This window comes from Homo sapiens, chromosome 4 (assembly GCF_000001405.40).
Source record: "Homo sapiens chromosome 4, GRCh38.p14 Primary Assembly".
In the NCBI taxonomy this organism is placed as follows: domain Eukaryota; kingdom Metazoa; phylum Chordata; class Mammalia; order Primates; family Hominidae; genus Homo; species Homo sapiens.
Window position 1 is genome coordinate 91252386 of NC_000004.12, and position 17382 is coordinate 91269767.

General features: G+C 34.1%; 1 protein-coding gene and 1 long non-coding RNA gene across 10 annotated transcripts in view, besides 2 other annotated features; one reads left to right on the forward strand and one right to left on the reverse strand.

Moving 5' to 3' along the window:
- The window catches only part of CCSER1 (coiled-coil serine rich protein 1), a 1477902-nt gene that overhangs the window by 1124992 nt on the left and 335528 nt on the right, over positions 1–17382 (forward strand). The gene's annotated exons all lie outside the window — the stretch shown is intronic.
- Positions 3562–4200: an enhancer, noted in NCBI's record as "OCT4-NANOG hESC enhancer chr4:92177098-92177736 (GRCh37/hg19 assembly coordinates)". NCBI's record gives its function as "activates a minimal SCP1, AML or CMV promoter by ChIP-STARR-seq in naive H9 embryonic stem cells {active_cell/tissue: H9 hESC(naive)}" and the evidence as "EXISTENCE:reporter gene assay evidence [ECO:0000049][PMID:30033119]".
- Positions 16180–16736: an enhancer, noted in NCBI's record as "NANOG hESC enhancer chr4:92189716-92190272 (GRCh37/hg19 assembly coordinates)". NCBI's record gives its function as "activates a minimal SCP1, AML or CMV promoter by ChIP-STARR-seq in naive H9 embryonic stem cells {active_cell/tissue: H9 hESC(naive)}" and the evidence as "EXISTENCE:reporter gene assay evidence [ECO:0000049][PMID:30033119]".
- The window catches only part of LOC124900733 (uncharacterized), a 56617-nt gene continuing 55434 nt past the window's right edge, over positions 16200–17382 (reverse strand). The window contains exon 4 of the long non-coding RNA XR_007058191.1: positions 16200–16600. This is a non-coding gene — a long non-coding RNA (uncharacterized LOC124900733). The remainder of the gene's footprint in view (positions 16601–17382) is intronic.

The window sequence follows — 17382 nt, forward strand, 5'->3', positions numbered from 1 at the left end:
AGATGTGTGAAAAAATAAAGATTTAAATAAAGATAAGTACATGGACAATCATAAAAAGTGGTATTATTGTAACAATGGTTTGTAACTCCACTTTTGTTTGCTACATGATTTCAGAGACTACATAGATTCAGAAATACCAATGTGAAAACTAACATTATTGTAACTTTGGTTTGCAGCTCCACGTTTTATTTCTACATAAGTTTAATGACTAATGCATTTAGAAGAATTATTTTTTAATATGTTGGTCATGTAATGCATAAAGACACAATTCTGTGACCTTGCCAACCAAAATGGATGTGAATGTAGCTGAAAAGAAGCAGGGTTTGTGTATGTTATTGAAGTTTAGCTAGAATAAATTCAAATTAGAATGATATAACTTTAGGACATTAAATGTATACAAAAAAGGAAATGAGAAATTTCTTTCTCATTTTAAAAAAAATGTTTCACTACCAAAACCCAACTGAACACAAAGGAAGATAGTAATGCAGGAAATGAGGGACAAGTAAGCATAAGGCATATCAAAAGATACAAATAGTAAAATGACATAAAGAAATACCTCCTTATTAGTAACTATGTTAAGTGTAAATGAATTAAACACCTGAATCAAAGGAGAGATTGGCAGAATGGACTAAAAAAAAAAAGAGGGTGATCGAGCTACAGTTGACCCTTGAACAGCATGGGCTTGAACTGCATGGGTTCACTTACATGCAGATTTTCTTCTACCTCTGCCACTTCTGAGACAGCAAGACCAACTGTTCCTCTTTCTCCTCCTGCTCAGCCTACTCAAAAGTGAAGACAATGAGGATAAAGACCTATATGATGATCTACTGCCACTCAAAGAGTGGTAAATGTTTTCTCTTCTTTATGATTTTCTGAATAACGTTTTCTTTTCTCTGGCTTACTTTAAGAATACATTATATAATTTATATAATATACAAAATATGTGTTAATCAATTGTCTGTGCTATTGGTAAACTTTCGTCAAAAGTAAGCTATTAGTTAAGTGTGTGGGGAGTCAAGATTCATATGCAGATTTTCAACTGTGTGGGGTTCAGCACCCCTATACCCTGCACTGTTCGTGGGTAAAATGTATATGCTATCTATAAAGGAATCACTTTAGAACCAAAGACACAAATAGATACTTATGAAAGTCAAAGGATTAAAAATATATTCTAAGGATTTAGTACCCAAAAGGGAGCAGGGGTGGCTGCTATACTAATATTAGACAAAATAGACTTAACAATAAGATATAAAAATTTAAACAAGATATAACAATTATAAGCATTTATGCACATAGTAACTGTATTAGTTCATTGTTTCATTGCTATAAAGAAATACACCTCATGGTTCTTCAGGCCTATAGGAAGCATAGCAGCTTCTGCTTCTGGGGAGGCCTCAGGAAACCTCCAGTCATGGCAGAAGGCAAAGTGGGAGTGAGACGTCACACATGGTGCAAGAAGGAGCAAGAGAGGAGTGGGGGGAGGTGCTACACACTTTAAAATAACCAGATCTCATGAGAACTCACTATCACGAGGACAGTATTAAGGGGGACGGTGCTAAACCATTTGTGAGAAACTGCCCCCATGATCCAATCACCTCCCACCAGGCCCCACCTCCAACATTGGGGATTGCAATTCAACATGAGATTTGGTCAGGGACACAGATTGAAACTATATCAGTAACAGACTATCAAAATATATGAAACAAAAACACAGAATTTAAGGGAGAAATAAATACTTCAGTACTCTTCTCTCAATCAAGGATAGAACAACCAAACAGAAGATAAGCAGGGAAATGTTAGAATCAACACAATAAACCAAATAGATCTAACAGACGTATACACAGAAGACTTTACTCGACAACAGCAAACACATTCTTCTCAATTGCACATGGGATATTTTCCAAGATAGACTACAAATCTATCCTTAGAATACAAATTAAGTCAAATTTTGGTGTATATATGTATACGATGGAATATTATTCAGATATATAGAGAAATTCTGATGTGCTTCAGCATGGATCAATCTAGACAACATCATGCTATGTGAAATAAGCCAATCATAAAATGACAAGTACTATCTGATTCTACTTATATTAGATACTTGGAGTAAAATTATAAAGGCTGGAAACAGAATGGTGGTTGTAAGAGACTGAATGAAAAGGGAAAAGAGGGAGTTGTTCTTCAATGGCTACAAATCTTCAGTTTTACAAGATTCATTATGGAGTTGGATGGGGGCAATAGTTGTACAACATTATGAATGTATTTAATAGCACTGAACTGCATACTCAAAAGTGGTAAAGATGCTAAATTTTATGTCATGTGTACCTTAACAGTATTTTTTTTAATTTTGGGGGAAAACATAGTTAACTTTTTGAGCTTTCTGCATTTTAAAATGTTATAGGTAATAATTCCAAGAATAATTTAAAAATCATTTCTATTTTCTAATAATTTCAATATTTGACTGGAAGTAGCATATTATAGCATCGCTAGAACACAGATACATTACTAAGTAATGTAAAAACAATATTTTCCTTCTTTCCCTCAGTCTCTGGCAACCATCATTCTATTATCTCTATGATTTTTACTACTGTGATTACTTCATATAAGTAGAATTTTACAGTATTTGTCATTTAGTGACCAGCCTATTCATATCTGCCTTGTTTTAAAGCAAACACTGTCAAGCAGAAAGATAAAATAGTCTGTAATATTAATGTTGATGTTAATAAGCATTGTGGAATATTAATGGTCATATTGATAAGTTCTCTGTAAGCATTCTGGCACATAGAGGTCAAGGGCATAGTTTCTGGGACAGAATACCTAGGCTTGATGACAGCCTTTACCATTTATTTTTCTGAGTCAATTTCTTCACCTGAAAAAAGAATATAATAAAAATATATAACTCACAGACCTCTTATAACCATAGAGTGTATTAAAAGTGCTTACAATAATGTCTCACATGTTAGATCTATATGTGTCTAATAACCTTATTACTATTATTATTGAGGGAATGTCACAGTTGATAGTGAGTTTTCAAAAGTGCAGTGTCTAACCATTAGCATTACAGAATGATAAACTACTTTTAGCATTTTAAGAGCAAATCCATCACCCTTGTGGGCAGACTCACAAAAACTGAGTTCATGAGACTGAGGTATAAATTCAGGATTCTGATTTATTCAAGTTATTAGAACAATACTACACCAGAGTGTTGCAGGAAGTCAGGGACACCGAAAGGAGGGACCTGCTGAAGCTGTGACAGAAGAACATAAATTGTGAAGATTTCATGGACATTTGTTAGTTCTCCAAATTAATACTTTTATAATTTCTTATGCCTGTCTTTACTGCAATCTCTGAACATAAATTGTGAAGATTTCATGGACATTTATCACTTCCCCAATCAATACTCTTATATTTCCTATGCCTGTCTTTACTTTAATCTCTTAATCCCATTATCTTCATAAACTGAGGATGTATGTCACCTCAGGACCCTGTGATGATTGTGTTAACTGCACAAATTGTTCGTAAAGCATGTGTGTTTGAACAATATGAGATCTGGGCACCTTGAAAAAGGAACAGGATAACAGAGATGTTCAGGGAACAAGGGAGATAACCATTAAGTCTGACTTCCTGGGAGCAGTAACAAGAGTCATATTTCTCTTATTACCAAAAATGAGTAAGAGAAATATCGCTCAATTCTTTCCCCAGTAAGGAATATTAATAATTAACAGCCTTGGGAAAAGAATGCATTCCTGGTTGGGTGGGGGGGCCCTCTAAAATGGCCGCTCTTGGAGTGTCTGCCTTATGCAGTTGCAGATAGGGATGAAAGAAGCCCTGGTCTCCTGCAGGGCCCCCAGCCTTGCTAGGATTAGGAAATTCCAGCCTGGCGAATTCTAGTCAGACCGGTTCTCTGCTCTCGAACCCTGTTAAGATGTTTATCAATGACAATGCATACACAGTGGGACATGAAGCTTCATCAGCAATTCTAGTTTTGCCCTGGCCTAGTGACCTTGTCCTACCCATTTGCCTTGTGATATTTTATTGCCCTTGAAGCATGTGATCTCTGTGACCCACACCCTATTCATACACTCCCTCCCCTTTGAAAATCGCTAATAAAAACTTGCTGGTTTTGTGGCTCAGGGGGCATCACAGAACCTGCTGACATGTGATGTCTCCCAAGGCTTTAAAATTTCTCCCTTTTTTAGTCTTTCCCTTTATTTCTCAGACCGGCCGACACTTAGGGAAATAGAAAAGAACCTGTGCTGAAATATTAGGGGCTGGTTCCCCTGATACCAGAGAAGCAGTTAAATTATTCAACTTTATTGCCATGTAGGTGGCACAAAAAAAGCCACATTATAATAAAATTGGCATAGCAAGCATGTTAATTAGTGAAATAATCAGTTGTTTCATTTTGATGTTAAGTAACATTATAATGAAAATAAACCTACAAGGCAATATTCTTGAAACAGAACCTCTTCTTCTTGGGAAGAAATCATATCTTTCCTCATGTCATGCTTCTTGGGTTAAACAAGCTCCCTTCTGGCTGACATATTCTTTCTTTAGTTATGCTAATAGTATCGTCATTCATAACATACTCCTAAAAGCCTAGAAATTATTCTGTCACTTTATGAAGACTTGTCATTATTTTTTTATACATTTTAAGAGATAAATCTTGTTTCACTCTTTCTAAATTCATGTGTGGGTAGAAAGCATCACTGTCACCCCCAAATACTAACAGAATTTACCTTAGATGAAATGAGGAGTGGCATTGTTAGTAAAAACATAGAATAAGAAAATGTATTAGCATATGTTTAGATATGTTACGTTAGAAAACAAACGATTTCTCATTGGCTTTTATTTTATTCTAATAAGTTATATCACGTCCCAAAGTAGTCCACTAACAAAGTAAAGTTCACAAGATACAATGAAATATTTGTTTTATTTTTCAAAAAGAAAGTTCAGACAGTAATTAATCCTAATTTTTTTTAATATCAAGCTAAACTCAACATGAAAAAATACATTTTAATATTCATGGTTTGACTTGCGTACTCTGTTTAAATTATGTGTATTCAGTAAAGTTGGAATACATACCTACACACACACACACACACACACACACACACCCATTTCTGTATATCTAGAAACATATCCTAATGTAAAATGGGCAACTAACTGTTTATTCCAAAGCGTTTAAATGGCTTCTTAAAATTAAACAAAGGAACAAAAATTTTGTTAAAAATTATCTTAATTAAGAATGAAAAATACTAAGGGCACATAATGAAAATAAACTTGTTTATTGTTGTAACCACTCAATGAACTTAAATTTAGTTATTTGTGAAGAAAACATTCAGCATGTTCTGAATTAGAATGGTTCACCTTAGTATTAAATGCCCTCTGTGGAAAAGGATATGCAGATGTTTCTTCCACATGAGCTACAAATGTGCCAAGAGACCACAAGTTAAATATTTAATGTTAACATTAAGATGGAAATATGTCTTCCTTATTGAGCTATAACTTTACTCATAAATATTTGTGGGAAGAAAAGATTTATTTTAATACTTAAGCATTTAACTGGAGGCTGTTAACGATTAACGACTTCACTTTAGTAAGACATCATTCTCCACAAGTAAGAGAAAGAGCAAAGAAATAGATGAAATTTTCAGTGGGAAGTGAGACTTCATACCCAATATTTTAAATATATACATGTCAATAATCTAGTTATTTTATGCTGAACAAATGCTGTGGTTGTTTAATTAGTTTTACAAATTTAGATTTCACTAATTCAGAATTTGTGATCATTTCGAGTCAGCTGAGTAGAAATGTATTTTTTTCACAATGTGAGAATCAAAGGTAGACTACACACAAAATTTTAATGCACTAAAAATTACTTAAGGCAACCCTTTTAAAAACTGGATGGCTAATATTTTGTGTGCAATAAGATACAATAGGATCCAATTTTTCAAATTATCAGCAATATTTTCAGAAATTTCCTTGGTACAGAACACCCTCTTCCTGGGAAGAGCTCATATCTTTCCCAAAGCTATGCTTCCTGCATTAAGCAAACTCTTTTCTGCTTGACACATAAAAATACATTATCAGATAAGTTGAGTTAGTGTCAATATTTCATAACCTGCATTAGTAAAGCACTTTAAACATCAGTTGACTGATTGTCACTGCAATTCTGTGACACAAACTAAGTTTTATTATCTTTGTGTTTAAGGCTAAGTTATGAAGCTTAAAGATATTGTGATTATTTGAGTTTGTACAAATAATTAGTTGTGAATATAACTGAGTGATTTCAGATTTATTCATTTCCTGCTTATTAGATGTCAAGTCCTATGCTAATATGCAAAAATAAATCCATTATGCTTATTTTTATAGACTTACTAAATACCAGACAATAATCTAAATGCTTTATAAATATTATTCATTTAATCAATTTGCAGGTGAAAAATGAAGCAGAGAGAATTTAAGTAACTTGTCCATGGTCATCAATGTACTGAAGGTGGGGCCAGAAAAATAGTACTTAATTACAGTACTATGTTTCTTCCTTTTCATACATCTATGAAGTAGGAACCTGAGAGCGATTGCTCAAAAATGACTTTAAATTCTGATAATAGTATAAAAATGAAATCTAAATTCAGCTTGCCACAAAAACAATTGTACACTGTAGGAAAGAGATTTGGAAAAATAAAGAAAAAACTTTTAAATAAATACAAACATAAGGATAATTGAAAAATAAAATGACATTGAAAAAGAGTCTAGATAGAAGCAAGATTTGAAAGCATCTTAATGGAAGTGAAATGCTCCATATGAAAGTTGCCTTAAAGATGCATATTCAGGGGATTTAGCAGATTTGTCGCTTCATTCCATTCTTTATAAACCAAAACATTAGTTTCATGAATTATTTTAACAAAATATTTTGTATGAAATGGGATGCATATTTGTTCTCAAAGCATTAGTGTGAACCTGTTTTCTGACATTCATTTTCCTTATAGTTCTAAAAGAAGCTGAAATAATCATGAAAGGATATCAACTCATACAAACATGAACAAGACCTTGGTAGTCATATATATATATATACACACTTCTGGGGTACATGTGCAGAACATGCAGGTTTGTTACATAGATATACACGTGCCATGGTGGTTTGCTGCACCCATCAACCTGCCATCTTCATTAGGTATTTCTCCTAATGCTCTCCCTCCCCTAGCCCCCCACCCTCCAACAGGCCCCAATATGTGATGTTCCCCTCCCTGTGTCCATGTGTTCTCATTGTTCAACTCCCACTTATGAGTGAGAACATGCAGTGTTTGATTTTCTGTCCCTGTGTTAGTTTGCTGAGAATGAAGGCTTCCAGCTTCATCCATGTCCCTGCAGAGGACATTAACTCATCTTTTTTATGGCCGCATAGCATTCCATGGTGTATATGTGCCACATTTTCTTTATTCATCTCTCATTGATGGGCATTTGGGTTGGTTCCAAGTCTTTGCTATTGTGAATAGTGCTGCAATAAACATACATGTGCATGTAAGACCTTGGTATTCTTACAAAAGAAAGTTTGTTCAATTTGGGAAAGGAATCTGTTGCAATAAGATTAAAAACAAAGAACAATGATAGCTGAATGTTTGAGTATGTTTATACTTTCCTGTTATTATTGCCTGTTGGATTCACAGAGGGACAAAAGTCAAAATTAATTCAATTCACAGCAGTATTAACATTCGGGGTTACTGTGGATATATAGCTGGGTGCTTATAACCTTGGATTCTCTATACTATTAATTTTAATTACCTTGGTGAGCTTACACTTTCTCCTTAAAAATAATAGCACACTGATTAAGCAATAGAAAGCTGAGGAGAAAAAGAAGACAGTAATTATCCAACAGCATAACACACTGTTCTTCCCATACACCACTTCCCCAATATACACATACACACCCATGCATGGGCTTGGAGATAGGGGAAAAAGTGCTCCACAGTACTTTCTACCTCACTGGAATTAATCATACAAGTAATAACTACTGTTTCATAGATGTTGTGCCTGATCTTTTATTAATCCTCTTAACTAGCCTGTAAGGGGAGAAATGTTAGTATCCCACTGTATAGATGAAGCAACCAAACCATAGACAGATTAGCTGGCAGACACAGAATTACATTCTGTTTGATCCCAAATATGTAAACTACTGTGTGATGGAAGATGGTCTTCTGTTAAACACCAATTTCCAAAACCGCTGTTGTTCGTGGTTCTATGAAATTTGAGTCTTCTTACGGCAAAAGACTCTAAAGAGTGATATACACTTTACAGGACTTATTGTCTTGTTGTCAAATTTTGCTAAATGTTAGAACCACTTACCTAGGAAGTTTTTTATTTATTTATTTATTTATTTTTTTATTTTTTTTGAGAGGGAGTCTCACTCAGTCGCCCAGGCTAGCGTGCAATGGCGCGATCTCGGCTCACTGCAAGCTCCACCTCCCGGGTTCACGCCATTCTCCTGCCTCAGCCTCCTGAGTAGCTGGGACTACAGGCGCCCGCTACCACGCCAGGCTAATTTCTTTTTGTATTTTTAGTAGAGACAGGGTTTCATCATGTTAGCCATGATGGTCTCGATCTCCTGACCTGGTGATCCGCCCTCCTCAGCCTCCCAAAGTGCTGAGATTACAGGCGTGGGCCACCACGCCCGGCTTCCCTAGGAAGTTTTAAAATATCCTCTTGCCTTGGCTGCACCTTATACCAATTTAGTCAGAATAGATGGAAGTGGTACCAACACATGGCAATTTTTTTCTAATTTTTCAGATGATATCCAAATATAGCCATGGTTGAGAGCCAGTGTTCTAAATGCCTTGCTCCTTACCATTAGTGCTTGTATAGTCTTTCCATCATCCCCAGTGGTGACTCAGTCTCTACCCAAACACACCTAGCATTAGCTTTGACTGTCGATCAAGTTCTTAGGTCAATTCCAAATCTGTCACTTTTCTCTTCAGAATAATCTCTTTATTTCTTTTAATTGCTTCTCTTATGACATGATTTTAAATCTCCTCATTATCCCAGTAGCATTCTTCTAACTAGACTAGTTGTCAATATGGTATCTTGGAAAGAATCTGGATTTTGGAGTCATAGTACCTTTCATTTACACTTCATATCTGCTGTGTACGTAATAATCTTGTGAACTCGAGCAAACTATTCAATATTCTCAGCTTCCCTCCTTCCACAAATAATGCTACCTCTTGTAACTTTTGTGAATATTAAATGAGATATACAGAATAGGAGTAAGACTTTTAGAAGCTCTGAGCATGGAAAACTGTAGTGTCTTATCACTGCCACTTCACCCCTCCACATGTAACTCAAATGAAAACAACAACAGTGAACCAGATAAAAGGAACAAAGGAATACAATTATGTTATAGTTTTTGTCTTCACTATGTTGATTTTTAAAATTATTAAGCAGCAAATATACTATTTTTGAAGTACATATGTCCATTTTTTGTACCTTTATTTGGCTACTGTCCAAAATATATGCTTAATCTTCTCCTGAGTAATCTAGTAGTAAACAGCCTGAATATAACTGTGCATGGTAGATTTGAGAGTAAGACAGAAATGTATAACTTGAGACAAATTTTTAACCTCTTTCATAAGCTTCAATTTCCTGAATTATAAAATGAAGGTAATATTTGCCCCGGATGATTAAAGTAAAAATTGTAATAAATAATATATAAAAAGTACTTATAAGTTATAAAAAAGTAGATACAGTGTGTGGTGAAGAACAAGGGTCTGTTACCAAACTATTTGGGTTCGAATCTTAGCTTACAGGTTGTGGCTCTGAAACCTTGGGCTCTCAAACCTTGGAAGATGAGGATAAAAATAAATCTACCTCTTAAGTTTCTTGTGAGTTTACAATAATTAATGTTCTTTATACATTTAGGACAAAATAGACTCTCAATACATGTTAGTAACTATCATTATTATTGAAATAATAATTTTTATTAGACACGAAAATGTCTGGTACCTCATAGGCACTCAAGGTATGTGGTATAATTTTCTTTTCTTTTTAACTGAGTTGCCCATAGCTGAATATGTTACTGAAATATAGAATGGTGCCTGAAAATACTCATAGATACTCAATGAATATATACTAAATTAACAAATAAATGAATAAGTATGGTCTGATTACAAAGTATAGAAGGGGATTATAGCTTTATAACTTTCCTCAATATAGGTTTAGATTCATAGTAAAAACACATTTCTATTACATTCTTACCAAAGGACCTAAATTCCAATTAAATTTAGAATTTTTAAAAGATCATAAAGCTCTTTAATTATTTTTGATGAGTTTCTAGCCAGTGACATTTTTACCATACCTGAATAGGACAATACTGAAGGAGATAATTTTCAAAAATATGTATAATCTAACTCAACATTATACGAGTATAATTACATTTCGATCTCTGTGATTTAAACATGAGGCTCTTATCATATGAAAAAAAAAACAAACATATTCAGAAGCACTTAATTGCTCAGCTTAACTCAGGTTAGCGCAGCCTGACTCACTTTACCTTTAGATTCCCTTGCTCTGGTAATTAACACTTAGGTCTTCTCCAAATTATGTAACCATTCTGGGCCTTAATATCATCATCTGTAAAATAGGAGTAATATTACCTAGCCCACGGGAATTTTGTAAGAAGCAAATAAAATGGGATATGTGAAAATATACTGAAACATGCATATATATGACAACTGTTTATGTGTGTATAGTTAAATTTGCTGCTTGCTCAAGCATATCCTAGAAAAAAGCAATCAAAATAGCTATGCCTGGTGTTCAGAGATTTGCCTCAATAAACTCGACTAACCATCTAGCAGTGACTATTTTAAATGCTTATTTTGCTAGAAATGTAACAAGTATGAGAATAAAGTGCTTACGTTTTCTACTTGATATGGTTCTGAAGAGGTTAATTTTAATCACGACATTCTGCACTTAAATTTTTGTAGCCTACTGCCAAATTTTAACATTCAAGTTTATTCATTTTTCTTTATCTGTCTACAGAAAGATCTCAAATTATTGATTTTCCTAAATATATATCACTTGAAAGTTACATTACAAAATGAGCACACGGACTGCAAATTCAGAGGATGCTGAGTTCTATAAAATAACTGACCCACATTTTCCTAGCTATTACCCTAGCCTACATCTCTGACAGAGTCCTTTAGATATCTAAGGCAAAATTTGCTTCCAATTTTCTGCTTTATATGCCAAGATGATGACATTTGATATATATTGAAATTATTTTAAATATTGGGCATTAGGAGATTTCAAAGCCAGTATCCATAAAGAGAAAGTAAAAAACCTGGGATAGTGTGATCTATAGAGCAACATTTTATGGAAAAATAATAATAATTAAAATTGGAAAATCTTTTTTAAATAAATGGATGCTGGAAAAATTCTCCTACTTCAATATTAAGAGTTTCCAAAGATGTAAGCTACTTTTTTGCTTTGCCATAATATGTATAAGATATGTAACCAATATTTAAAAATCTATGTGGTTTGTCAAAATAAAAAGACAACTTGAAGTTTCTTCCAAAACTACCCATTTCACAAGAATATTGCTTATTCACAATAAGATTATATTTCTATGTTTTAAATGTTGACAAAAGAAGGAAACAGAGAAATAATTACACTACCATGTACCCGAACCATAAATATGTGTTCTGCTGACTTTTAACAAACCAGGATGAAACATTTATGATGAATGAGGAAGAGACTGTTGTAATTTTTCTAAAGCACTTTTATATTGCATGAATGACTATCTTCCTCAGGAGAGCACAAATTAATTTTTATTAACAAAGAACTGTAAAGAAGTGCTGCCATCTTTGCTTGAGTTTAAATGTTTCCCACAATTTTATCATTTTAATGGATAATGGGAAAATAAATAGTTGCTTGCACAATAAAAAAATCATGGTTGTAGTTAGTATTAGGTAGGTACTTCATAATCTTTCTCATTTCTAATATTTTAGATATAGGGCATTTTCTCCATAAGTGGCTTTGTATTGTTGTTTCCCTAAAGTCATTCCAAATTAGCTTGTTCTTTAATAAAACAGAGAATTTTTGGAAAAGAATTATCCAACTCTTCTCTGATGCTTAAAGCTTCCTTTATGTTTTCTTTTTAAGAGCACAATCCTGGATATTTTTCCCATGAAACACTCTCGCACTACAATTGTGAGACCTATATTTTATAAAGCATAATGAATTTTTAAAATTTTACATTACCACTGTTATGTGTGGAGAACACTAAAAACAGTTTTTAAGTTTAAGGCATTCCATCCAAGTACTAACCAAGTCTGACCCTGCTTAGCTTCTGAGATAGAGATCAGGTGCATTCAGGGTAGTATGGCTATAGACTAAAAAGATTTCTTAACTAGTTTTATCTCTGTCCTCATGATTGTGGTTTGTGAAAGAAAAATCTGATTATAAGTAGGAGGGTAAATCCCTGATTAAGAAATAATTTTATTAAAATATTATGAAGATATTAAAATATTTATCTGATTATATATGACTAATGAATAGATTTCAAATATTATTTGTCTACATTTGTTTTTCTTTCTGTTGTTTGGCTAAAATGACTTAAGGCACAATTAGCATTCATTGTGTATAAAGAATTTTTTATATTGATTTTATAAACCATAAGAAAGAAATATCTGAAGTAACTCAATTACATTTCCTTAGATATCTCACTAGAATTTTCAATAGCCAATGACTTCAACTTTTAGCCTATGAGAGAAATTATAGACTAATGTCCCTTACCAAATACTAAAATTTGATATCAGTATTTGAAATCATTCTTTGGAACTTTGATTAATTTAGAACTGTTTCAGTAAACAATTTAATTAAAAATTAAGCTCCTGAATAAAGTATGATTTATACAATCATAAACTATTATATATTAATACAAAACCCCATTAAGTTAACAACATAAGGGTGTGAGCTATAGTGAATTAGGTTAATTTTCTGGATAACTGAAGATTATCATATAAATATAAGAAAATAATTTTTGATAACATATGTTCCTGTCAAACTTTAGGCCTATATTAAAAAAATAAGCTCTGAACAAAGTGTAACATTCATTTGATTATTACAGATTATAGGAAAACTCTAGTTAACCTTCTCACTGGATTAATTCAAATGCCAGTTGTATTCTGTAGAGCCATGATGCTGAAGGTGATAGGTACCACTTCCATTGGTCTGTTCACTTCTGTTCCATTAATTGTTTCCTTCATACTTTTTTTATTGTAGTTGTAATGGTTATTTTAAATTGTATTGTTATTAAGTGAACTAGTTCAATATTAGGTAAAGAGATAAAATAAGCAAGTGGAAAGAATGAGCAAAACTATGTTGAATACTTTAGGAAGTATTTTGAACACTGAAAAATTTTGGGAAAACGAGTAAATACAAAGAAAGTGTTTTAGTGCATTTTCACACTACTGATAAAGACATACCCAAGACTGGGAAGAAAAGTAGGTTTAATGGTCTCACAGTTTCACGTGGCTGGGGAGGCCTTACAATCATGAGGGAAGGCAAAAGGCACTTCTTACATGGCAGCAGCAAGAGGGAAAGAGAAAGAAGAGAAAGTAGAAGCCCCTTGTAAAACCATGAGATCTTATGAGATTTATTCACTACCATGAGAACAGTATGGGGGAAACTGCCCTCATGATGCAATTATCTCCCACTGGGTCCCTGCTACAACACGTGGAAATTATGGAAACTACAATGCAAGATGAGATTTGGGTGGGGACACAGAGCAAAACCATGTAAGATTGTTTTGCAAGGAATTTTAAGCCCTAAGACCACTTTAACTTAAGCTGGTTGTTTTTTTTGTTTGTTGGTTTGTTTTGTTTTTTTTTTGAGACAGAGTCTCACTCTGTTGGCCCAGGCTGGTGTGCAGTGGCATGATCTCGGCTCACTGCAAGCTCCGCCTCCTGGGTTCACGCCATTCTCCTGCCTCAGCCTCCGAGTAGCTGGGACTACAGGTGCCCGCCACCATGCCCTGCTAATTTTTTGTATTTTTAGTAGAGACGGGGTTTCACCATGTTAGCCAGGATGGTCTCGATCTCCTGATGTCGTGATCTGCCCACCTCGGCCTCCCAAAGTGCTGGGATTACAGACGTGAGCCACAGCGCCCGGCCTTAAGCTGGAATTTGAGGAAGACGCTTTCCTGTGTGACTATGCAAGAAAGAGGAAGAGAGGCAGAAGACACTAACTCAAAGAAAAGGGCTTGGTCTCATGTTAAAATACGCATGACTGAATGGATTTCCACTTATTTTAAGTTAAAATGAAATGCTTAACATATGGAAATATATTATTAAAAATTATTTCTGGTTTTGCATACTTTAGTAGCTGGCTGATCCTTATCTTACCGGATAAGTGGACACTGATTGAATATATTTTATTATATATCTGGCCTAAGGAAGGCTATATTCTATGACTATGGAATATTTGGTATTATCATTCTTACTACTTTTGAACCATTTCACTTTCAGTTTCACGTTTTTTTCCTGCTCCTGAATATTTTGCATGCCTGATTCCAGATAATTGGAAAATTGCTGCACCTTCAATATAAAACTTACTCAAATATAGTTGAGATTTAACCGGTCAAGACAAACTTTGCAGATTTATCTCCTTCCTTCCCACATCCCACATTCTACCTATTTTTCCATTTTCTATTTAACAACCAGTCTGAATGTTAATTGGAGAAGTGGTAGGTAAAGTTAAAAAGTAGGTAAAGGCAGGCTTGTAGCACACCTGTGGATCCAGCAAATCTTGAATTCTGCCATTTTTGGGGAATTATTGATGGATATTTCTATATGTCAGGTGTGTGTTTTAGAATGATTCAATTCATCTCTTAGTTCTTTGTTTTTTATTAGTTTTTTGGGGGGGTTCTTTTCTCTGTCCTTTTTCTCTGAAAAGTATATCATAATCATAATTTATCATAATTGGCATATCTATATCAAATAGGAAAAAAATAACTTTAAGAAAAATGTTTCTCTCTGCTTTTACAGAAAAAAGAGTCCTCAATAGACATTGCTTAGTATTAACTTATTTTCCCTGCTTCTGTAGTGTGGAGTACTGACATTTAAAAGACTTTAATTTCTATTGATAATAAATGAATGCACAGCCAGAGAAGAGAACTCTAAAATAATTAGAGGGATGCATGTCAAGTCTTTCAGGCCCTCATATTAATACACAGTGCATGCTGCTTCTTATTGTTGCAAATGTCAACCTTCTTTTAGATAAGTGTCTTTTGGGAAATGGTTTACTACACTTCAAAGGGATATAATAAAAGAAAAGGGCTTGGGGCAATATTTAAGCAATGAAAGAAACACAGGACATTTATGACTAGCTGAGAGGAACTGATTGCCTTTGGCTGTGCCTTGGGAAATCCCCAGGAAACACAGTAAGTTGTGATTACTATTGTAAGTTAAAATGATATAAAGCATGCAGAGGAATTTGTGTTTTTCTTATGGGTGATACTGCATTTCATATTCTCAGCATACCATCAGAGTTCATATCTACCTCTGTGTTTCTTACTGAAGTACTAGCAGGAGATGTATTATTGAAAATTGCCAAAGAATAATTTTCAAGAGGATCAATTTAAGAAAATGAAAAGAATGTAAAGCTAAGTCTATCTCAGAAAACATATGTGTTTTCGCATACCTCAATTAAATGTTTCTCATTAAACTAGACATTTTGAAATTAATCATACCAAAATTTGTACTGAGAATGTTTGTTAAAATTTGCATGGTAAATTTCTACTATGTGTATAACTATGGCAAATAACATTAGAGGTAAATAAAAAAGAAGGGCATACATTTAATTTTATCAGTGCATGTTCACAGTGGTTATTTCCTTAATAGACATAGAAATGTTTAGATCTGGCAGCATTATTGGGGGGATGTGAGGATGTGATTTATTATTACCCTTATAGGTTTTCACTTCTGAGTTTCTACCAGGCTGTTGAGAATATAAAGGAAATTATCTCACAAATCTGTTATTTTTTTCTTTATTCATTTCATGTAGTTTCCCTTTTCTGGTAGTTAAGAGATCTAACACCAAATTTTAATCACTTTATGGTCTCAGTTTTCACTGCACTACCTTCAAATTCAAAACATGGCTGAAGAATTATGTCACGCGCTTCCCAGTGAAGACACCACCAAACAGGCTTTGTGTGAGCAACAAGGCTGTTTATTTCACCTGGGTGCAGGCTGGCTGAGTCCGTAAAGACAGTCAGCAAAGGGAGATAGGGGTGGGGCTGTTTTATAGGATTTGGGTGGGTAGTGGAAAATTACAGTCAAAGGGGGTTTTTCTCTTACAGGCAGGGGCGGGGTCACAAGGTGCTCAGCAGGGGAGGTTCTGAGCCAGGAGAAGGAATTTCACAAGGTTAATCAATCAGTTAAGGTGGGGCAGGAACAAATCACAATGGTGGAATGTCATCAGTTAAGGCAGGAACCAGCCATTTTCACTTCTTTTGTGATTCTTCACTTGCTTCAGGCCATCTGGACGTATACGTGCAGGCTTGGGCTCAGAGGCCTGACAAATTATTCTTGAAATGAGGTCTGAAATGCTAACAATAAAATTCAGCCTGATTATCACTATTTTTGGTCATGCAAAGATAACAAACTGGGTAAAAAATTGTAGTCTATTTAAAGGCACTTTGGCCTTGCAAATTCTGTACACTGTCTGGTTTGATTAATGAGCAAGTGACTTTATCACTGTATGTCAACCAAAGCAACAGATTGAAGGCATGCCTTGGGCAGGTCTATGCTCCAAAAGGGATTTTAAGAGAGCTAATACTTTAATGTGTTTAATTTGGATGTTTTAATTAAGGGTTAATATAAATATCAAAGCAAAAATCTAAATAAGCACAAAACTAGTAGCCATTTCTTGTATAAGTACCTAAAATGCACACATCTGAATACTTTCAAATTTCGGGGAATCGCCAAGCATTTTACAGACTACGTGTTTCCTGAACTGTTAACCCAGGTCTTCTAATTAACCCTTGAAGATAGTTCTGGGTGCTACATAAAAGCTTGAAGGATTACTCATATAAGCTTAAATAGAAATTCCACCAAAATGCATTAAAGAATATGAGAATACTTATATGTTTATCAGAAATATCTTGTTATTATTTAAAATTTTATCATTCTACAACATTTACAATGATTATATTAACTAAATCCTACATTTCCACATGTATATACCATGATGGGACCAAGGTCAAATTTTTATTTTACTTGTGAATGATAATTTCAGAAGTTGAGCATTCTTCTGTAAATGCTGCTCTTATATAACTCAGATATTTTCTTGAACGACTGCTTCTTAAACTATTTAAATATCAAGAGAACT